This window comes from Homo sapiens, chromosome 6, assembly GCF_000001405.40.
Source record: "Homo sapiens chromosome 6, GRCh38.p14 Primary Assembly".
In the NCBI taxonomy this organism is placed as follows: Eukaryota; Metazoa; Chordata; class Mammalia; order Primates; family Hominidae; genus Homo; species Homo sapiens.
Genome location: NC_000006.12, coordinates 157,395,936 through 157,418,569, shown reverse-complemented (window position 1 = coordinate 157,418,569; position 22,634 = coordinate 157,395,936). Strand labels below are relative to the sequence as shown.

Below are 22,634 nucleotides of genomic sequence, written 5' to 3'. Positions count from 1 at the left end.
CGTTTTATTAAACCTATCATTTTTCCCCACTGCTTTGGACATCCTTCCTAGATAAAGGGCACAGGCCTCTGATAATGAACAGTCAAATAAAAACATGTCCTGTTCCATACATCCTCTAGAAAGCAAAGTGCAACACACTCAGCTTTATAGCCCACTTCTCGAACTGCTTAACCCTCGTTCATGCCTGTAGGAGTATAAATTGGTTCCATATCTTCATAAGTCAATTTGGGAATATTCTGCAAACTTTTAATGTAGCTTTAAAATCGCTGACCCAGCAATTCCATTTGCATGACTTCATCGTTTTACCAAGTGTAAAAACTGACCTCTAACACACACTCCACCCTGACCTCTGATGGGTTTGAGAATGGGCCATAAGACACGCGTGGGACAGGGCCTCCTCACTTCTGAGAAGGACCCAGGGGAAGCCACGGCCTCACCTTTTCCTGATGTCAGGTCTGGATGTGTCCCCTGGAGTCAGTGCAGCCATCCTGGGACCATGTGGGGTAAGTGCAGAGGAGGAAAGTGCCTGGGCCCCGAGACATCGCTAAGCAGATGGACCAACAGGTCCTGCAGTCGGCCTGACCCTGGGCTTCTTCGTCTTTTTTTTTTTTTTTTTGAGATGGACTCTCGCTCTGTCGCCCAGGCTGGAGTGCAGTGGCACAATCACAGGTCACTGCAAGCTCCGCCTCCTGGGTTCAGGCCATTCTCCTGCCTCAGCCTCCTGAATACCTGGGACTACAGGCACCCGCAACCACGCCCGGCTAATTTTTTGTATTTTTAGTAGAGACGGGGTTTCACCACATTAGCGTGATCCGCCCGCCTCGGCCTCCCAAAGTGCTGGGATTACAGGCGTGAGCCACCATGCCTGGCCTTCTTCGCCTTTACGGAGATAATAGATTTATGTATCATATCAGCCAATGTAAGTCATCATTTTCTATAACTTGCAGCTGAAAGCCATCTGATATGATCCTACAAACAAAGGCACACTATGTGCCAAACTCTATGTCCAAGATTGTTTACTGCAGCCTAGTTAATAACAGCTAAAAACTGGAAACCCAAAAGTCCATCCTGGCTGAGTAAATTAGGGTCCATCCATATTACAGAATGCTAAGCAGCTCTTAAAAAGGGAGAGGGGTTCTATATGTGCTGATATGAAAAAAATGTCCACGATACGTGATTAGTTGACAAAAAACAGAGTACAGAACAGTATATGTAGTAGGATCTCACTTGTGTAAAATATACACACATGCTTTTATCCACATCTTGGGTAGGGATGACAGCATCTAACTAGGCAGAGCAGATGCATAAGGACATCACATGCCTGTTTCTGGAACTAAGGAGCATACAGAATTGGATAAGAGCAAACGGCAACAGGATTAACGAGCACCCGTACACCCACATAGATACAATTCTGGAAGGATGCCATAAAATTGCTAACAATGAGCCAGGCGCGGTGGCTCATGCCTGTGATCCTAGCACTTTGGGAAGCCGAGGTAGGAAGATCACGAGGTCAGGAGTTCGAGACCAGCCTGGCCAACACAGTGAAACCCTGTCTCTACTAAAAATACAAAAAAAAAAAAAAAAAAAAAAAAAAAAACTAGCCAGGCATGGTGGCGGGCACCTGTAATCCCAACTACTTGGGAGCTGAGGCAGGAGAATCGCTTGAACTCGGGAGGCAGAGATTGCAGTGAGCCAAGATCACGCCATTGCACTCCAGCCTGAGCGACAGTTCGAGACTTTTGTCTCAAAAAAAAAAAAAAAATTTGCTAACAATGGCTACAACTCGGGAGTGGCAAGTGGGAGGTGAATTAGTTTTCATTCAACGGCCTCTATACTGTTCGAATTTTTTACCATAGCATGTACTACGTTTATCTTTTTTTTTTTTTTTTTTTTTTTTTTAATGAGACAGGGTCTCACTCTGTCACCCAGGCTGGAGTGCAGTGGCACAATCATGGCTCACTACATCCTGTATCTTCTGGGCTCAAGCAAGCTCCCACCTCAGCCTCCGGAGCAGCTGGGACCACAGGTATGTGCCACCACACCTGAATAATTTTTTTTTGCTTGTTTTTTTTTGATAGAAGGTCTCACCGTGTTGCCCAGGCTGGCCTCAAACTCTTGAACTTAAGCAATCCTCTTGACTTGGCCTCCTAATGTGCTGGGATTACAGGCGTGAGACACTGCATCCAGCCTATAATTTCTTAAATCAAGATGAAAAATACTTTCAAAATGTTCAAAGGATTCAATTATAACACTTCACAGAAATTCAAATGGCAAATATATATAGAAAAATCACTGCCTAGAAATTCATTCAAATCATCTACAATCTTTCTAGCTACTGATAGTGATATGAATTAGGGGACTACACATTAATATTAATATAGCCTAAGTAAAATAAATTTTAAAAGATACAATCCAAATGCACACATGTGCTCTCCAAAGCCAAATAGCTTTTTCCAGTGATCCACATGGCTGTTACCTGCCAGGGATGAGAGTTGCCCGTGATGCTTGGAGAATAACTTTGGGAAGATCCAGGTTCTGCTTGGCCTCCCAGGTTTACTTTTAAAGCCCAGCTTGCATGTGGGGCACTTCATCAGAATTACTGAGTGAATATGCTGTCTTTGGTATTTCTTCAAGTTCGAAAATTATACCTCCCTTGGAGTTATTTTTGCCAACAACTTTTTCTTTTTTTTTTTTTTGAGACAAAGTCTTACTCTGTCACCCATGCTGGAGTGCAATGGCACCATCTCGGCTCACGGCAATCTCTGCCTCCCAGGTTCAAGCCATTCTCCTGCCTCAGCCTCCCAAGTGGCTGGGATTACAGGCACATGCTACCATGAAGGCTAATTTTTGTATTTTTAGTAGAGACGGGGTTTCACCATGTTGGCCAGGCTGGTCTCAAACTCCTGACCTCAAGTGATCCGCCCACCTTGGCCTCCCCAAGTGCTGGGATTACAGGTGTAAGTCACCGTACCTGGCCTTGCCACCAACTTTTAATCCACCCTTCTAAAGCATTCAGGATAGAAAAAAAATGGACATCATCTTATTTCTGACAAGTTCTTTGCTGAAAAGCTTTGCTCTCATGGAGCACATCCCACCTGTTCTATAAAAGCCCTAATATTACCCAATTTCTATTCTTTCCTCAATAAGCATTTGGAGAGCTCTGTTCATTCTTGAAATAGCACTCCCTGTCCTTACTGCCTCTACCAATTTGTCTGAGAGTGGTGATTTTTTTTTAAATACCTTCCTATCCCTTGCAAAGCCCTTTGATAAACTGGCAATAAAGACAGTATCAGTAGCTTGTTATGACAATATTAGTTACAATATTGTTTAATAGCTTTTTAGAGCCTAGCACAGCCCAGAACATAAAAGGAACTTTAAAGAAAAAAAGAAATAGTCATTCAATGGTTTATTCAAGATGTACCGATTGAAAAGCTGGACGAGTCAAAAATATTATCAGTATAGTTCTCTTGACAGTAAGTGGGACCAGCCTAGCACACACTTTCTCTGCCAACATCCCCCCACTGTCCTCGCTAGGAAGTGTGGTCCATTAAGTCCTTGAATCCTCATAAGAGTGACTTTAGAGTTGTAACTATAGAGACAAACAAAGGTATGAGAGTTACGAAGATCCAAGCAAATGTTCTCAAAATGTCTCGAAAGCCTGTACTTGGGACAGGCAAGGAGAAAGAACAGAATTCACAATTTCATCAGGCAGTGAAGAAATTTGTTTAAAAAAAAAAAAAAAAAAAAAGCTGCAAACCTGAACTAGATGGTGCAGAATTCAAATGGAAAGAAGATGTGAAGGAATTTCGTAAGTCTGTCAGGAAAAAACACAAACCAACAACTGTACGATATGGACACTGAATATCCTCTGACATTGCAAAGACCCTAAACTAGGCTCCCTGTGCCCAGTGGTGGCCTGGACAAATGACCCTGCACATGTGCATCCCATAGGTCTCTTGGCCTGGATGAAAGTCTCTGGCAGCAGCTGCAGCCCATAGAGATGGTCAACATCTCATAGTCATATACTGTCTTGGAAACTTCAGACTACAACACCAGCACTTCCTCAGGCTCCCCTTCCTCCAAGCACAGCATGAGCCAATGCAGAATGCTCATTTTGGCCTTATTTTAAAGGTGGAAGTGGAAGGGTGGCACCATGGTTTTCATAATCAAGGGTGCCAGCTAGCCTACTTTTCTAGAACCTGAGATCACTGGGGGATGGGCGGAAGCTTAGAGGCCATCGGCATCTTTCAGAGATGAAGAAAGCAAAGCCCAGGGAGGCAAAGGGAGTTCGCCGTGGGCATGCCAGAGGCAGCGGCAGAGCCAGAACAAGAACCCAGTGCTCTCTCAGCTGCGCATGGTGGTGCACGCCTGTAATCAAAGGAAGCCAAGGTGGGAGGATCACCTGAGGTCAGGAGTTTGAGACCATCCTGGCCAACATGGTGAAACTCTGTCTCTACTAAAAATACAAAAATTTGTTGGGCATGGTATGCCTGTAATCCCAGCTACTCTGGAGGCTGAGGCAGGAGAATCGCTTGAACCCAGGAGTTGGAGGTTATGGTGAGCCAAAATTGCACCACTGCACTCTAGCCTGGGCAACAGAGTGAGACTCTGTCTCAAGCCAAATAATAATAATAATAATAATAATAGCACAGAGAGAAATGTGCTGGGTGACCTGCGCAGTGTCGTCCCGGCCTTTCCAGGGTGGAGGGAATACAGTGGCATTCAACAGACACCTTGTAACTCATCACAGATGTCCATGAGAAGCCACATGGATGGAATCTGAGTCCAGGCACACATTTTCCAGAGAAAGAAAAGAAGTTGCTGTGGGTAGAAAGGAGTTTTGAGGCTCCATGGAGACAGGCTTTAGACGGAAAAAAGACATTTTAGAAAATGCAGTGTAGAAAGCTCCCACACATCCAGCCCACTAAGTCTCTGAATGTGAGGAATTTTTGGCTGCCTTCTGACTTAAAAAAAAAAAAAGAAAGGAAGGAAGAAAAGCTTTAAAACAGAGATACCTTTAAAAGAAAAAAAAAATCTTTCTGAAAGAATTATCTGCTATTTCAGGTAATTTTAAAACTATGAAATAAGAAATTCCCCTTCCTGAGGCAAACTAAGGCAGTGACGTCTTACCAGTGAGTGTTGGTGAAATAGAATCAGAGAAGCTGTATCCACCTGTAAGATGCCAGGCGAGGAGACGAGAACAGCTGTTCATCAGCTCTCTCTCCATATGTAAATCTTCAGTGGCGTATCATGAGCAAAACCTCTGTGTTTTAGGGCTGTCCCCAGTCGTCTGCTGTGGTGAAGACTCAGCTTTGAGCTGAGAGGCAGAGAGAAGCAGCAGAACCATGTGCCCACCCCTCGACCCCCTGCAGGGCCTCACATCACCGCTTCTACAAACACGGAGTGCGTGTCTACTGTATGCCAGGCACTGTTCTTGGCACTTTAGACGCTTCTATGGAAAGGGATTACACTTCCCACTTCCTCCCTCATTCACCGTCTCCCTCACTTCCAAGACTATTCCTGAAGTCTCCCTTCAATCTGCCGTTCAGTACTGTGAGCCGACCTCCTTTCACTTTGGCGCTGATGCCAAACAGCTAACCCCACGGGCTCTCTAAAACATATGTCCTTGAAAGCTGTTGTATCTGTAACTTCTGGGCCAAAAAATACGGATCCCACAGCCTTTCTTCTTTCTCATGGACCTGATTTCCCAACGCTATATCCTCACTGGTGCTCTCATGAAAATTTATTTCCAGAACTTCATGTCCACAATTTGACAAATGGTTTTGCTCTGATTCTGACGTGGGCGTGCACCTACGTGGTCTCCTGCTATCCAGGCTAACTATGGTGCGCTTGTGCTTATTACTCCTCATTCTCCAATTCTCCAAAGTACTTGAGTTGTACCACCATTTCCACCTGAATTGTGAAGGTAATGACCACTTCAAGCTAAGACAATTCCCACTGCAAACTGCATTCTATTGGCCGGGCACGGTGGCTCACACCTGTAATCCCAGCACTTTGGGAGGCCAAGGTGGGTGGACCATTTGAGGTCAGGAGTTTGAGACCAGCCTGGACAAGATGGTGAAACCCTGCCTCTATTAAAAATATAAAAATTAGCCAGACACAGTGGTGAGTGCCTGTAGTCCCAGCTAGTTGGGAGGCTGAGGCAGGAGAACCACTTGAACCTAGGAGGTAGAGGTTATAGTGAGCCAAGATCGCACCACTGCACTCCAGCCTGGGCGACACAGCGAGACTCTATCTCAAAACAAGCAAACAAACAACAACAACAAAACTCCATTCTATTACTAGCTATTAATAAAATATCCAACAAACTGGCCAGGCGCAGTGGCTCACGTCTGTAATCCCAGCACTTTGGGAGGCTGAGGAGAGCAGATCACTTGAGGTCAGGAGTTCGAGACCAGCCTGGCCAACATGGCAAAACCCCATCTCTACTAAAAATACAAAAATTAGCTGGACATGGTGGTGGGTGCCTGTAATCCCAGCTACTTGGGAGGCTGAGGCAGGAGAATTGCTTGAACCCAGGAGGTGGAGGTTGCCATGAGCCGAGATCACACCACTGCACTCCAGCCTGGGTGACAGAGCGAGACTCCATCTCAAAAAAAAAAGAAATAAAATATAAATATATATATATGTATATATCTCTCCAACAAACTACATATCTAAAGCTAATCTTCCTACCACCCTTCCCGATGTCACACTAATGCACCAATTGCACACATATCTAATGACTGTGTGGTCTAAACCAGTGGCCACACATCAGAGATGCCTGGAAAGCTTTAATTTTTTTTTTTTTTTTTTTACCATGAACATGCAGGAAGGAAAGTCCTTTTTAGCATTTTATTTTGAAATAATTATAGACTCACAAGGAACTCCAAAAATAGTGCAGAGAGTACTCAACCTTTTACTTTCTCTCTTTGTTTTCTTATTTTCCTTAACCTTAACCTTTTTTTCACATCTCTTATCTTCTATGTAAGAAAGTACCAGCACCCAACTTCCCCCAGGAGGGACATCTCACATAACCAAAGGAGGTTGGCTGCATAGGGCAATGAGCTAGACTACAGATCCTACCCTGATGGCAAGAGTTTTTGCATGCATTTGTTTATTTGATATATCCTTATGCACAATTATATGACATCTTCTCACACAGATTTATCGAGATGCATTTCTGTCCCATCCACACAAAGGAGCTCTCCTTACTGCCCTTACAGCCCCCAACCCCCACTCTCTCCTCCCTGGCAACCATTTGTCTGTTCTCCATCTCTGTATGATGTCACTGTGAGAATGTTATATAAATGGCACCATACAGTAACCTTTTGAGATTGGCTTTTTTTCATTCATTGAAAGCTTTTAATAAATCACATGTTCTAAGTTTCATCACTACCCCTACCACCTCACCCTAAGCCCTAGGATTCTGATTCAGTCGATCTAAGGTGGGATCCAGAAAATGGCATATTCAAAAGCTGCCCAAGGAATCCTTACCCACTGCAGCTTCTGAGCCACTGGCCTGGACCATCTCCTCCAGCTAACGGATGTCTGTGGTGTTAAAGATGGAATCAAGGCCAGGCGCGGTGGCTCACGCCTGTAATCCCAGCACTTTAGGAGGATGAAGCGGGCAGATCACGAGGTCAGAAGATCGAGACCATCCTGGCCAACATGGTGAAACCCCGTCTCTACTAAAAATACAAAAATTAGCTGGGTGTGGTGGCGTGTGCCTGTAATCCCAGCTACTCAGGAGGCTGAGGCAGGAGAATCGCTTGAACCCAGGAGGCAGAGGTTGCAGTGAACCAAGATCATGCCACTGCACTCTAGCCAGGCGGCAGAGTGAGACTCCATCTCAAAAAAATAAATAAATAAAAAAGAGAGATGAAATCAAATATCTTGCTAAGGCAGGTAAGCTTACCTCTACCACCTCCTTCATCTGCCACAACCTTGGAGCTTCCAAGGAAACCAGATTAGCCTAAAGTGACTACTTCCTCATTAAACTGCACTAGCTTTTATCTTATAGCCTATTATTTCTAAGGTGCCAGATAATTGAGTTGGTAATGAGTTGTTCTTGTTGTTTTCAAAATTATTTCTGGCTCAAAGATCTGCAAGTCTTTACACATCAATTCTTACTTTTTCATTCAGAATCATTTTTTTATACAAAATGCACTGCAACAAATCCAGCCAATTTTATGTCTCCCCTGGACCCAAATAGCACTACCATGACATAGCACATTCCAGCCCTATTTATTTTTTCCACTTTCCGTGGAAGATGAATACAAAATAAGTACAATGCATGTTTTGACTGCAGCTTGGCTGACCAGAGAGAATCCATGAAAAAACAAAAAAATGCCACTAAGTACAGGCAGGCTCCTGGCCACAGACAGAAGCCACAAGGAAAGGACAGTCTGGGAAGTGCTGAGAAGCTGGCCTGTGAGCGTCTCTCCATGACCAACAGGTACTGGAATGCCTCTTAGAACAGCTGCCAGCGCGGGCAGATCACTTGAGGCCAGGAGTTCGAGACCAGCCTGGCCAACATGGTGATACCCGTCTCTACTAAAAACACAAAAATTAGCCGGGCGTGATGGTGGCATGTGCCTGTAGTCCCAGCTACTCGGGAGGCTGAGACACAAGAATCGCTTAAACCCGGGAGGCAGAGGTTGCAGTGAGCCGAGATCGCGCCACTGCACTCCAGTCTGGGTGACAGAAGAAGACTCTGTCCCCCCCCCCAAAAAATAAAATAATAAAATAAAATAAAATAAAGCTGCCAGTGAGGCAGAAGACCAACCTCTCCTCATGCCTTGGAGGAGATGGGAAACCACTCGGAAACACTTTCATGGGATCATGATGAAGGTGAAGAAGAGGAAGGAGGAAATGACAGGGCTGGGTGCAATTCATGCATTCTCCCTTTCATCCAGTCAATGTAACCTCCCCACTAGAACATCTGCTCCACGAGGGCAGAGGCCTGGCATAGCGTATGTTCCCTACTTTACTCAAGAGCTTGACTTACCGTTGGTGCTCAGTAAATATCTATCGAGTAACATATTCACCCAGCACCTAGGGGAGCAGTCACGCCCTTGTCCAGCCCCTCACCAGAAAAGGTCACCTAAGAGAACACTACCTACACTGTTGAGCCAGAGGGAAGGCATGCTAACTGCAGGAGTCACAAACATACGTAACCCGCTGCTCCCTCTGCTTCTAGAAAGCAGGATCCAACCAGAAGACCTGATGGGAGGTCACATAAATGAAACAGAGGGCCCACCTGATGTCCCATCCAGCCCAGCCTCAGAGGTCCGCACCCCCGGTGTGGATTCAACACACCCACATCCCCCTGGGACGCGGAAGCAGAAAGTGCTAGTTGTTCCTCAATACCGGCTGGCCTCTTCTCCCTCAGCAACAGAAGATTTTGAGAGGCACATGAAGTACAAGACAGACTCATTTCCCCAGTGTCCTTGCAGCTCGTTAGGGCACAGTGACAGCGATCGAGCAAATGAGATGCAAGTGGGAATGCCACGCAGTAGCTCTTAAGGAGCATCTGGGGGTTCCTCTTGCCCCTCCTTCTTTTCTTTTCCATCCTGGTGTCTGGAACTCAGATGCAATCGCCAGAGATCCAGCTGCCATGTGAGGCCCCAAGAACAAGGATCACATCCTAGGGAATAAGGAAATTATAAGCAGGGAGGAAGACAGTGTGGCAATTCTTCAAAGATCTAGAAGCAGAAATACCATTTGACCCAGCAAACCCATTACTGGGTATATATCGAAAGGACTATAAATCATTTTTTATAAAGATACATGCACATGTATGTTCAATGCAGCACTATTCACAGTAGCAAAGACATGGAATCAACCCAAATGCCCATCAATCATAGAATGGATAAAGAAAATGTGGTACATATATGCCATGGAATACTATGCAGCCATAAAAAGGAATCAGATCATGTCCTTTGCAGGCACATGGATGGAGCTGGAAGGCACACGGATGGAGCTTCAGGAAATTAATGCAGGAACAGAGAACCGAACACCACATGTTCTCACTTAGAAGTGGGAGCTGAACGATGAAAACACATGGACACAGGGAGGGGAACAACACACACTGGGGCCTGTTGGAGGGCGTGGAGGGAGAGCATCAGGAAGAATAGCTAATGAATGCTGACCTTAATACCTAGGTGATGGGTTGATCTGTCCAGCAAACCACCACGGCACACGTTTACCTATGTAACAAGCCTGCACATCCTGCACATGTACCCCGGAACTTATAAATTAAAGAAAAAAAAAAGCAGAAAGGAGCTTGGGTCTCTGAAGATCTTGTGGACAAAGCCACCAGGCCAGCCTGTACTGCCCACCTCTGACATTTTATGTGAGAGAAAAATAAGCTTTTCTCTTGATTAAGCCTCTGTTATTTGGGCGGTTTCTATTATTTACAGCAAAGCCTAATCCTAGCTAAAACTGATGTATAAAACAGAGATATAGCCCACCTATCACAACTTGCCCACAAAATGACTTCTTAAAGATTCATCGTCATTAATATAGCTAACTCCTTCTTGAGTCTACTTCTATATTTGTCCTTTATCATTTCTTGAGGACAAAGAGTTTCTTATTTCCTAGCAACACGGCAGCACTTAAAAGAGCATAGAGGACTCGCATTTTAAAAACCTGCTTCCTGCTTATTTTACTTCTGAGAAGTTCATGGTAAGTTTACTTAGCCAGGTGACCCATCCAAGCAAGGTTTATTTAGTTCTAAGTTCACATGCCATCCTAATCAACCTGGAATAAATATGGAGCATGAGGACAGGCCAACAAGAAGTGTCTGTCCCATCAGACTACAATGAAATGAACATATAAGCACCGAGTTCTGCCCTTTGAAGATGAAGGCACACCAATTTCATTGTAATCACATGGCCAAAGCACCAACAGGAATTTTCAAAAGAGACCACCTTTTTTTAATTCTCTTTTACTTTACAGCTGAGACAATTGCTGTGTCTTCTCAGATGAAAAGTGCCTTGGTTTGGGCAGTCTACAAAAATGATTTGGGGACTTTTATTTGCTAATGGGAAGACTACCAAGAGTTAGTTTTCCTTCTAGGGGACTGCTGGGAAGTTTTCTTGTGTCCAGTAAATCTTGGCTTAACAGGAAAGCAAAATTTAAGAAGAGTATAAAACAGCTGCGACTTTCATCCCCAATGAATCCTAGGAGGCAGAGGGTTCCCTACCCAGAGACCACCTCTGCGCTGCTGCCTATACACAGCGGCCATGTAGGAAAGGGGACGGCAGGGTCCCACTCACTCCCTTCCCAGGGGCGGGGCTACAGGGTGGCCTGGTGTGGAAACCCACCAGGGACGCCAGCAGCTCTGCAACCCAGCAGCCCAAGTCCGTATCTCAGTTCTGCTGCTTACTAGGTGGGCGGCTGTGGACTGGTCACCCACCCTCTTTGAGCCACGAAACCACCTACATTATAGGGTCATTTGTTGTAAGGACTAGTGAGACGTATAAAATTCCTAGCCCATAATGTGTGTCCATTACATTTATAGAAATTCTTTTATACATCCAGGGCACTTCTAATCCAAGGTTGAGAACGGCAATGCTAAAATAAAAGCCGGTGCATGTCTTAATGCCTCGTAGCTGGAGCCTGACAAGCAAGACTCTATCCCCCTTCTCACTGCCTCTCTGACCCGCAGACAAAGAGAGGCTCTTCTGCATGTCAGGCAATTAGCTCAGTGAGGACTCAGCATTGCTGAAGAAATGGAGAAGAGAGGACTGGAGAAAAAGGAAGCAAGGCTGCATGTTCAGCTGCGCGGTTTGTTCACTGAACAAGGGCTTTACAAGTAACGGCACCATTTACACTGTAGACCTCATGGAATTAGATCCTTAGTTTGAAATTTTTCCAGCAGAGGGAAATGTCTTATTTTAATAAAAATATGTATATAATGATAATTTTCTGACAGCAGAAATAAACCATTTTGAAGAAGGAGTGACTTTCTTACATTTACCTGAAGGTGCCCCATAAGTTAGCAATGGAGCAGTCAGAACCCTGCTGGGGAACCCCTGGCTTAACCAGATATTTCTTCTGAAGCTGGGAATACTCCACTAGCTCAGCAAGCCAAATTCCATCCAGCGCTCTCTGAGATAATATTTTTCTGCAATCATATTCAACCAAAGGTACGATTCAATGTCCTAATCTATCAACATCATAACCTCAATCTGAGAATTATGATCCTACTTATAGCAATACCTGAGGAGACATCACATGTTCAAGAATAGCCAAACAGATACACGGATCCCTTCGACTTTCAAATCCTTTCAACCTTCTTTCTCCCTCCTGTGCACCTCTCAGCACCCGGTCCTCCAGGATTCCAAGCTCTGAATCACCCCACTCCCTCCCCAACTGCAGCTTCCTGTTCAGGGCCTCAGGCCTGGTGGGAAAGTGATGAGCTAATCCACGCTCTGGAGCTGATACGATATAAACTTCATGCATTACCTCTCCCGCTAGGAATTAATATTTTTAAAAGCATGCCCTCAAAAGGACAAGGTTTAACTCAAACAAATGATTGTCAAGGGTGGCATTATCCTATTTAGAAGGGGCAACAAAGATGGAAAAATTGGGGAGGTCCGAGCAGGGGTGGGGGATGGGGAATAACCATCCAGAATTCCCCATTTATAGCCCATCCATGATTTAATCTTCATGTTAGCACACCCGCTCCATCACACTAAATCATTACAAATTCATGACAAAATGTCTTTGCTTGCATAGCACTTTATTTTTAAGGCCAGTCATTACATCAAAGCGCTAACTAGAGCCTCACTTATAAAGTGACAAGCAGTTAGTCAATTATAATAAAGAATCACTTATAATTGAGTAAATCATTGCTCAAAATACAGTTGCTTATGCAAAAATGCACCATGATTATTATTAACAGTACAACATATTTTCCACATCATCATTACCATTATTATTAATATCAACCCTTGGAGAGGTTTTTCTGACCAAAATTTCCAGACTTTAAGAGGAAAGAATATTTTTTTTAAAAAAAATTTTGAGCTCGGCCAGGCACGGTGGCTCACGCCTGTAATCCCAGCACTTTGGGAGGCCAAGGCGGGTGGATCACGAGGTCAGGAGATCGAGACCATCCTGGCCAACACAGTGAAACCCCGTCTCTACTAAAAATACAAAAAATTAGCCAGGCGTGGTGGCGGGTGCCTGTAGTACCAGCTACTTGGGAGGCTGAGGCAGGAGAATAGTGTGAACCCAGGAGGCGGAGCTTGCAGTGAACCGAGATCGCGCCACTGCATTCCAGCCTGGGCGAGACAGCGAGACTCCATCTCAAAAAAAAGAGCTCACCTGGGGGAGGTTTTGCGCTGGATCTTTTGGCGGTGCAAAAAAGTTCCCAGATGGGTTTCTCTCCTTGTTTCACATTTCTGAATTTAGACCCTAACATAAAATATTCCTGAGCTACTTAGAATATATATTTTTAATGAGCAGAAAAAAATAAATAAAACGGGAGCTTCAGCCCTGTTTCTCTTTACCCACTGAGGTTGAAATCCACCACTTCTGAAGGCATCCCTGTAAATGTTCTGAATGGGACCTGGGAGGGCTGCTTTTCTTACCCATTGCTTCTAATTTACTTGCATATCCTTTTTCCTGAAATGTCAGTAGCGCATAAGGAATCCATTCATTAACTCTTAACTCCTAATAAGAAAATAGTCAATGGCTAAAGAGCTTATGAGGAAGAGCTGAAATATAAACAAGCAAACTAAAAAGTTTTGTAATGCTATTTTAAACATTTTTCTCTAAATCTAAAATATTCCAAAATTAAAAAATATATATTTAAAAACAAGTTATCTAACCAAAGACAAGGACCCAGCTTCCATTCAGCATCTATGAACCAAGCACAGTGCCACCTGCCCCAGGGACTTTCTGTCCTTGACTCATTGCTAGGAAACGGTCAACAGCTATTTTTATCCCCTCAAATGGGCACTTTAGAGAGACAGGAGAGACCCTCTCCCTAAAGCAACTCCCAAGTATCCACTAAGGCTTCTGTCACCACTGGGGAGTCTTATCAAAGCAAAGGATGTTGAATAAAGGCCCTAGGAATTAGTTGAGGAGGACATAAATTATTTTTCAGAAAAGAGTCATTTTCCGGCCGGGAACAGTGGCTCACACCTGTAATCCCAGCACTTTGGGAGGCTGAGATGAGGGGATCACCTGAAGTCAGGGGTTCGAGACCAGTCTGGCCAACATGGAAAAACCCCACCTCTACGAAAAACAAAAATTAGCCGGACATGGTGGCACACACTTGTAGTCCCAGCTACTCAGGAGGCTGAGGCAGGAGAACCACTTGAACCTGGGAGGTGGAGGTTGCAGTGAGCCGAGATCACACCACTGCACTCCAGCCTGGGTGACAGAGCGAGACTCTCTCAAAAATAAATAAATAAATAGAAAGCCACTTTCCATGTTCAACGTATTCTATTTTTGTACAATAGACTCCAAAGATATATGGCACTGAGTTTTCTCATCTGTAAAATGGAACTAATAACAGTACCAACTATGGGGGAAGTGTGTGGGTTAAGTAAGCTACCAGCCCTTAGCCAGCACCTGGCTTGTGCAGGCAGGCCCCACTGGGAAAAGTCCTCCCGTTTGTGTGCCCACCATGCTCAGCACCTGCCAAGGCACCTGCTGGTGTTGGTTTAGCAGCAGCCGCAGTGGGTCTGCCCTCCTGCAGGCGGGTCCATGAGGCTTGCCACTTCTGGACTGCCTTTCACGCTTCCTGACACCGGTGGGTGGCAGCGTCTATGTTATGGTGTCACATTAGCTAAGGAGATCATACTTGCTAAACTAAGCTAAGCTAATGAGCTCTGCTCAGCTAATCAGCTCTACAGAAATCAGCCTTCTTTTTTAGTGAATAGGCAGCCCCTAAAGTTAATTTGTAGGTTGGTTGTTTGAAACTGGGAATGTGTCTTCCCAAAGAAACAATGTGACAAATGAAGACAGAGTTCTCAGGCCGGCCCTAAACCCTTTTCTAATGCTTAAGGCAGAGAACAATAGTGCAGGGAATAATTGTACTGGAGTTTAGGGGCTGTGGGTCCATGGTAGGGTACAGGAAGAAAGCAACTGGCAGCCTTCCCCTTTCCCAGGTGCATAGGTTGAGTAAGGGTAAAACATTGAAGAAAATAATAAAGAAAATAAACATCAGTGACTATTTCATTTCAACCCAACTAAATGACCACAAATTTCACAAAATATATGCTTTCATTCATAACCTAGCAGGTTATTTCGTAGGTTATTGTTCCAGCTTGTGGAGCATGACAATAGTATTTGCTGAAAGGGACAAAACAAAGAAATTCTGTTTAAAACCCCTTTCCCATCCAAGAGTGCTTGTTAGAAATTCAATTTACATTTTCTCTGATGTGCTAACATCTTTAATGAGAGCAGGTGCTCTAAAATAAAGCCAAATCCATGAACTCTGGTGAAAATTAGCATAATTTTTTTATTGTACAATGCAACAAGTCCAGTTCAGAAGGCAACAGAAGGTATATCGCCAGGCTGGGCATGGTGGCTCATGCCTGTAATCCCAGCACTTTGGGAGGCAGATGCGGGCGGATCACCTGAGGTGGCCAGTTCGAGACCAGCCTGGCCAGAATGGTGAAATGCCATCTATACTAAAAATAAAAAAATTTAAAAACTAGCCAGGTGTGCTGGTGCACACCTGTAATCTCAGCTACTTGGGAGGCTGAGGCAGGAGAATTGCTTGAACCCAGGAGGCGGAGGTTGGAATGAGCCGAGATCATCCCACTGCACTCCAGCCTGGGCAATAGAGTGAGACTTTTGTCTGGAAAAAGAAAAGGAGGAGGTACATCGCCAGTCTGAGAATATTAATATCTTCAAATGAGGGCTGAAGTAGTGGCCTGCCCATCACTTTTCTCAAAAAAGGAATTAAAGTGTAAAACAAGAAATTGTCCAAAAAATCTCACACTGAAGAGATATTTTGTTGACACGATGATAGGGACCATCATATCCCACTTCATCTTCACCCCATTAAGAAGGGAGGATGAAGTGGAGGAAGCCCCAGACTAGCAATCAGCAGGTGTGCATCTCACTACTGCAGCTGAGACCTCAGCAGGTGCGCATTTCACTACTGCAGTTGTGACCTCAGCAGATGCACATCTCACTACTCCCGCTGCGACCTTGGCAGGTGCACATCTCACTACTGCAGCTGAGACCTCAGCAGGTGCGCATCTCACTACTGCAACTGCGACCTCAGCAGGTGCATATCTCACTACTGCAGCTGAGACCTCAGCAGGTGTGCACCTCACTACTGCAGTTATGACCTCAGCAGGTGCTCATCTCACTTGCTGTGACCTCAGCAGATGCGCATCTCACTTCTGCAGTTATGACCTCAGCAGGTCCACATCTCACTTGCTGTGACCTCAGCAGGCGCACATCTCACTAGTGCAGTGTGATCTCAGCAGGTGAACATCTCACTAATGCAGTGTGACCTCAGCAGGTGCGCATCTCACTTGCTGTGACTTCAGCAGGTGCACATCTCACTAGTGCAGTGTGACCTCAGCAGCTGCACATCTCGCCACTGCAGTTATGACCTCAGCAGGTGCTCATCTCACTTGCTGTGACCCAGCAGGTGCACATCTCACTACTGCAGTTATGACCTCAGCAGGTGCGCATCTCACTACTGCAGCTGAGACCTCAGCAGGTGCACATATCACTTGCTGTGACCTCTGCAGGTGTGCATCTCACTACTGAAGCTGTGATCTCAGCAGGTGCTCACCTCACTACTGCAGCTGAGACCTCAGCAGGTGTGCATCTCACTACTGCAGGGTGACCTCAGCAGGTGCGCATCTCACTACTGCAGGGTGTCCTCAGCAGGTGCGCATCTCACTACTGCAGCTGAGACCTCAGCAGGTGTGCATCTCACTACTGCAGCTGAGACCTCAGCAGGAGCACATCTCACTACTGCAGTGAGACCTCAGCAGGTGCGCATCTCACTACTGCAGTGAGACCTCAGCAGGAGCGCATCTCACTACTGCAGCTGAGACCTCAGCAGGAGCGCATCTCACTACTGCAGGGTGACCTCAGCAGGTGCGCATCTCACAACGTCATCCAGCCTCGTGGGCCTCAGTTTCTTCGTCTATAAAATGAGGGCATTTTAACCAGTTCTACCCTTGTATGATCAGAAATAAAGAAAAATGGTGCCTGTATGTATACCCAGTAACATTCTACATACAGTGTACCAAAAGATTGACGATAGTTAACAAGAAAAAAGTATTATTTTGAAAAGTGCCTATTTTGACATATTTTTATGCTTCTAAAAAAAAGCTTTTTTTAGAGTCCATTATTTGAAACAACGTTTCTATTTATCTTTGAACTCTACATCTCAACATTGGGTTACTGATAAGTTACATCAGTGCTTCTTGTGGCAAGGCTTTGGCATCTGATAAATAAATAATGAAGGCAGCTAATGAAAACACTCCACACATGGAAACCCTGAAATGGATGCACCTAGGTTTAACAGCAAGTTTTGGCTGTCTCCTCCACTCAAGGGCATATTGTTTTCAATGCAGTGCTAGAAAGACTGATTTAGTGCCCACTGTGAGCCACACACTAGTACCAGAGGCACAGGAGACAAAGATCAATAAGACAGGGTTCTGGGCTTGGTGAGTGCACAGGCCAGGGGATGATAAAGGCGTGCACAGCTGCACAGGGAGCCCGGCACTCACTGGTAAGAGGCAGAGCCAAAGGAAGACAGCGGGACCTGGGGGAACGCTGCAGGGTTACTGCCAGGGGCATCAGGAAGGCGTCTGCTATTTGCATTTCATAGGTTCGTGGCTGGAATAGGGCAGGAGTGTTTTGAGCAGAAGGCACAGCAGGGTGAACACAAGAGTACGAGGCATCCTGACATCCATGGGCAGCAGCGAGGGACTCAGGGGACTGGGGTATGGAGTAGTGTTTTCCAAGTTGCAGGTTGTGGGTCATGAAATCAAAGCATTATTTAAGTGAAATATTCTAGAATAAACAATAGAGTAGAATAGAATAGAGTTCACTACACATGGTCAGATTAAGTGTTGTTTCATGAAATTTTCCTTTCTCTGCGTGTGTGTGTCCTGGATCTCCATGATGTGCTGCTGGATGTAGAGGGTGTAGGTCACCCTTTAAAAGTTTGAAGGGCACTGTTTGGAGGTACAGGGTGCAGCAGGGGCTATCCAGTCATCAACCCCACTGCTGCCTTCCCAGGAACAGAGCACAGTGCTGGGAGCAGCTCTCAGGATGAAGGTGACAGCAGCCTTTCTCACACAGGGAGAGGGTCACCACAAAAGGCCTGCAGAGCTGTGGCTGGTGGTGTGGCTCTATCCCTCTGTCCCACTGTCTGTGAGTGGGACCTCCACTGAGCTGCCCAAGCGTGGACCACACCAAGGTCCAGGGAAGCAGCAGGAAGGGGCAAGAAAAAATAGAAAAAGTTCAGTTTCAATGAATTTATTCAGAATTTTGCAAATGGGAAAAGTGAAATGTTATGGTTCACAATGTATTTCAGTATATAAATTACACATGGTAATGGAGAAGGAGGTTACCATACACTTCTCAGTGTTGATGGCTTTTGAAAGGTTTTAATCCAGCCCTGATGGTGACAACACAAATGGTTCTGAGTAAAACTCTCCTTGCCCCAAATGTCATCCTCCCTGTCCCCTTTCAAAGTAATCTGACCAGTCCTTGCTGCAGGCCCACCTTGGACCTGCACCTGCAGAAAGTGCCATGTGGGGCATCAGGATCAGAGCCACCCAGCCAGCCTGGTCTATGGAAAGGGGCCATGGAGAATGGTGAGATCACGTACGGTCTCCCAACAGCTGCAATGTGCAAAGGAATGTGCGCCTGGGAGAGCCCTTGCCGGGGTCAACCCTGGTCCGGCAGGGAAGCCGCTCCAGTGGTGGGAAGTCCACCAAGGTGAGGGATCCTGGTTCCAGAGCCTTCTTCTTCATGAACTCATCAACCTTCTAGGAGCTCTGTATTCTTCATCTAAGTACAATAACAACAACTGTTTTTGTGTCTTTGAAACCAGACTGTTATGAGCAAAAAGGCACAAATTATGAGAAGAGACCTAAGCCCGCCCGAAGACAGGGCATATATACACAACTACAGATGACAGATGAGGCACACACTTTTATTTCTTATCCCACGGCATGGTGCTTATTCGAACACTTACAAAATGCCAACTTCGGCCCTGGCAACAGACAATGGCACCCGGATCTACCCAGCACTGTGGTGTCTTACAGGTATCGTATCTCTAACGCACACTACTTATGCATGCAATCATACTCAGTAAATATTTCTTGACTCAAGAGACTAAGAAATACTAACAAAAGAAGAGTGAAACATTTATGAAGATACGGAAAAAAAGTTGGAAAAAATAAGTGGCCTGAAAGAAATGGAAATGAGATTGCTCTGAAGGGGTGCTTTTATCCACCCCGCTAACTGCTGCTAATCAGGAAAGCAAGATCTGATAACTTTCTGGAAAACAGTCATGCAGGTCCCCTCCAGAAAATTGCAGAGCTTCATAAACGTCTTAATTATTTTGATCCATGTATACGACCAGACATTTCAAGTAAAATCATTTTTCTTTGGAGACTGAATTAACCTAACTGTGGATGTCGTGGAAATGAGCAAGCTAAATCCCCACTTAATGTTTACTGTCAGACACATAGAGCTTTTCCTCTTCTCTTGTACTGGTCAGTGGAGATGCAATAAGCCATCGTTTCAGAGGAGTCATTATAACGACAGAATTCCTTTCTCTAAGCAAAAAATGGAAAATAAGTAAGAATGGCAAAATGTATTACAAAATAAGAAACATTTTAATTTGATACAATCAACTGTGTTCTTATAAGACATCTTCACAGTCTTCCTGGCCCAGAAGGAAGAGTACTTATTCAAGCTGTTTCTGGAGCATCAGTAATTACTCCCATTATTCTATCTTGGTGGGGGCAGGGGAACACTGATGTACTTTAAAATCTTCTTTGGAGGAGACAGGACTATCCCACACTGAGAAGGAAATTGAGTTAGATGTCAGATTCAGCCTGGCCTCCAGCCTCTGCTTCCCTTTCCTCCCCGCAAATGAAGGATGGCTCAGCAGGCCCTCAATTTAGCCCCAGAGGGGACAGAGCAGCAACAGCCCCACCTGGCATTAGAGACTCTTCCCCCTGCTGGCAGGCTGCCCCTCCATCCTGACATGATGCCAGTGGAAGTAACCACATCCCTGCCCTGACCCTGCCAGGTTCCCTCCAGGACTGCAGCCTGGCCTGGCACTTTTGGGCCCATCCAGCCTGCTGGGCAAAAGCTTCTAGCAGTACCTCAGTCTTGGGCCAGGGACCCTGCTCTCTAGGAACACACGTCCCTGTTTCCATACTCTACTGAATCCAGTCACTGTCCACTCTGTCTCCTCTGCCCCAATCTCTGCCTACCTGGGGCCATCTGGGGAGCCGGGGGGGGCTGGGGAGCTGGGGAGCTGGGGAGCTGGGGGGCTGGGGAGCTGGGGAGCTGGGGGGCTGAGGGGCTCGGGAGCTGAGGAGCTGGGAAGCTAACCCCATGCTGCCTTCCAGGCTGGATTCTCTCTCTCTCCCCTGGCAGTTGGGTTTGTCTCCCCAAAGCCTCTGTCTTTGTGCTGGGTGGCGGACCCATCTGCAAGAGGCAAGTGTCATTAACCGTGATGGACACGGTGGTCAGCCAGACAAATAATCCCCTCCCACCTCCTACTGTCTCGGGACAGCCCCCTTCAGAGCGCTGCAGAAAAGTCTTCAGAAGTTCAAGTCCAGCTTCATACAGGGAACAATAAGAATCCGGATGTGGAAGGGAGAATAACGTTCCCCCAAAAACATCCACATCCTAATCCCCAGAACCTGTGAACACGTTACCTTATAGTGCCAAAGGGACTCTGCAGCTGTGATACATTAAGGGCCTTGAGCTGAAACTCCTGGGTCATCCAGGTGGGCCCAGGGAATCCCATGGGTTCTTAAAAGCAGAAAGCCCTTCCTGGCTGCGGGCAGAGGGAGGTGTGATGATGGAAGGAAGACACGGAGCCTCGCTGGCTTTGAGGATGGAGGGAGGGGACTGCAAGATAGCTCCAGAAGCCGAAAAAGGCAAGGAAAGAGAATTTCCCCTACAGCTGCCAGAAGGAACACAGCCCTGCTGACACCCTGATTGTAGCCCAGGGAGAGCAGGATTAGACTAGACTTCTGATGTACAGACTGTAAGATAATCAATCTGTGTTGTTTCAAGTCACTCCGTTTGTAACAATTCATTACAGCAGCAAAAGAAAACTAAATCTGAGGGAAGAGAGAATGGGAAGTAAGGAGAACAACTCTCCATTTATTTCCATACTTAAGTCTCCCCCTTTACGCTTGACTGGGGCTCCCATTCAGGGAAGCTTGAGATCTGTCTTGACAATACCAGCTATGGTCCACAAACCCATACAACCTTCCAAAATCAACAATTTCACATAAGAGTCAAGAATAATCTTTATCTCAGGTTCAAGGTGATGACATTGTCCTGATAGATCATTCTTGTCTCACCATCCGAAGCCAAGAGGCAGAGAACTTAGATAGAAATAAGTGGAACTCTACTTCATTGCCACTTCAACTTCTAAATTAAAAAATAGAATGTTAGTAGTTTCCCAGCTCAATAAAGGCATACAGTTTAAAAGCAATACTTCCTATCTTTATTTTTTTCTAGCCAAAGAAGAAATACAGTTTCTATATAAAACACTGTTAATCCTAAGTAATAATGTTATGATGGGAAGAGTAGGCTTCTCCAACATTTAGTATCTATCTACTTTTAAGAAGACAAGAGCATACCTCTTGAAATATCTGTGCAAAATTTGCTTATAGCTAATGGAATAAGAACACAAACACAAACTCAGTGTGTTTCCCAAATAGAGCCATAATCACCATTTGACTGTGTGTGTTAGGACCACGCTGAAATTTAACTTGCATAGGTTTCAATCTTAAAGAGAGGCAGGAAAATCTGCATCAAGTTTGTAAGTGTGAGATAATTTAAGTCAAGAATTCTTCTTCCTGCTTAAAAAGACAAATAGACCATATATAGCTGCAGAATTTAACTTGACTTTGGCTTTTATGTTCAAAAATGCCCTTATCTGCCATCAAGAATGTGTGTATGGGAAACTCATGGCATTAAAAGACCCCAAAATAGGAGCATTCAAGATGATAAATTGCTTTGATTATATAAATCTGAGGCTCACTGGAAAGATCAGCTTGCTAGGAGTCATTACTTGCCTAGCTGTCCCCTTGTGGGACAGCAAGTCTCTGCAGACCATGAGGCCACCATAGGCTATTTCTGGAAAGGCCTCGGTATGTCAACAGCACGGTCGGCAGGTGAAGCAGGCCCCTGGTCTTCTCACTAACCCAGGGAGGGGTGAACATCCTGGTACATGACAGTGTCAAAAAGGTGTCCCTATGAGAGTTGTGTTTCTATATCTAGAGGGAGACAGGGAGGTCTACTCTAATGGTATGTTAGCTCCAGCTATGAAGGGACAAGCAGGTAAAGGCAAAAGCAGACCTAAATCAACTGGACTGCTATACACTGAGATCTTAGGGAACAGAGACTCTCATCTGTTGCTCTTAATA

General features: G+C 45.4%; 1 protein-coding gene across 3 annotated transcripts in view, besides 4 other annotated features; it reads right to left on the bottom strand.

Moving 5' to 3' along the window:
• The window catches only part of ZDHHC14 (zDHHC palmitoyltransferase 14), a 296,968-nt gene that overhangs the window by 259,588 nt on the left and 14,746 nt on the right, over nucleotides 1-22,634 (bottom strand). The gene's annotated exons all lie outside the window — the stretch shown is intronic.
• Nucleotides 19,737-20,237: an enhancer, noted in NCBI's record as "H3K4me1 hESC enhancer chr6:157819365-157819865 (GRCh37/hg19 assembly coordinates)". NCBI's record gives its function as "activates a minimal SCP1, AML or CMV promoter by ChIP-STARR-seq in primed H9 embryonic stem cells {active_cell/tissue: H9 hESC(primed)}" and the evidence as "EXISTENCE:reporter gene assay evidence [ECO:0000049][PMID:30033119]".
• Nucleotides 19,737-20,738: a biological region, named in NCBI's record as "H3K4me1 hESC enhancers GRCh37_chr6:157818864-157819364 and GRCh37_chr6:157819365-157819865".
• Nucleotides 20,099-20,393: a silencer, noted in NCBI's record as "tiled region #985; HepG2 Repressive non-DNase unmatched - State 13:Ctcf, and K562 Repressive non-DNase unmatched - State 12:CtcfO". NCBI's record gives its function as "represses a minimal TATA promoter and a strong SV40 promoter by Sharpr-MPRA in HepG2 and K562 cells {active_cell/tissue: HepG2 | K562}" and the evidence as "EXISTENCE:reporter gene assay evidence [ECO:0000049][PMID:27701403]".
• Nucleotides 20,238-20,738: an enhancer, noted in NCBI's record as "H3K4me1 hESC enhancer chr6:157818864-157819364 (GRCh37/hg19 assembly coordinates)". NCBI's record gives its function as "activates a minimal SCP1, AML or CMV promoter by ChIP-STARR-seq in primed H9 embryonic stem cells {active_cell/tissue: H9 hESC(primed)}" and the evidence as "EXISTENCE:reporter gene assay evidence [ECO:0000049][PMID:30033119]".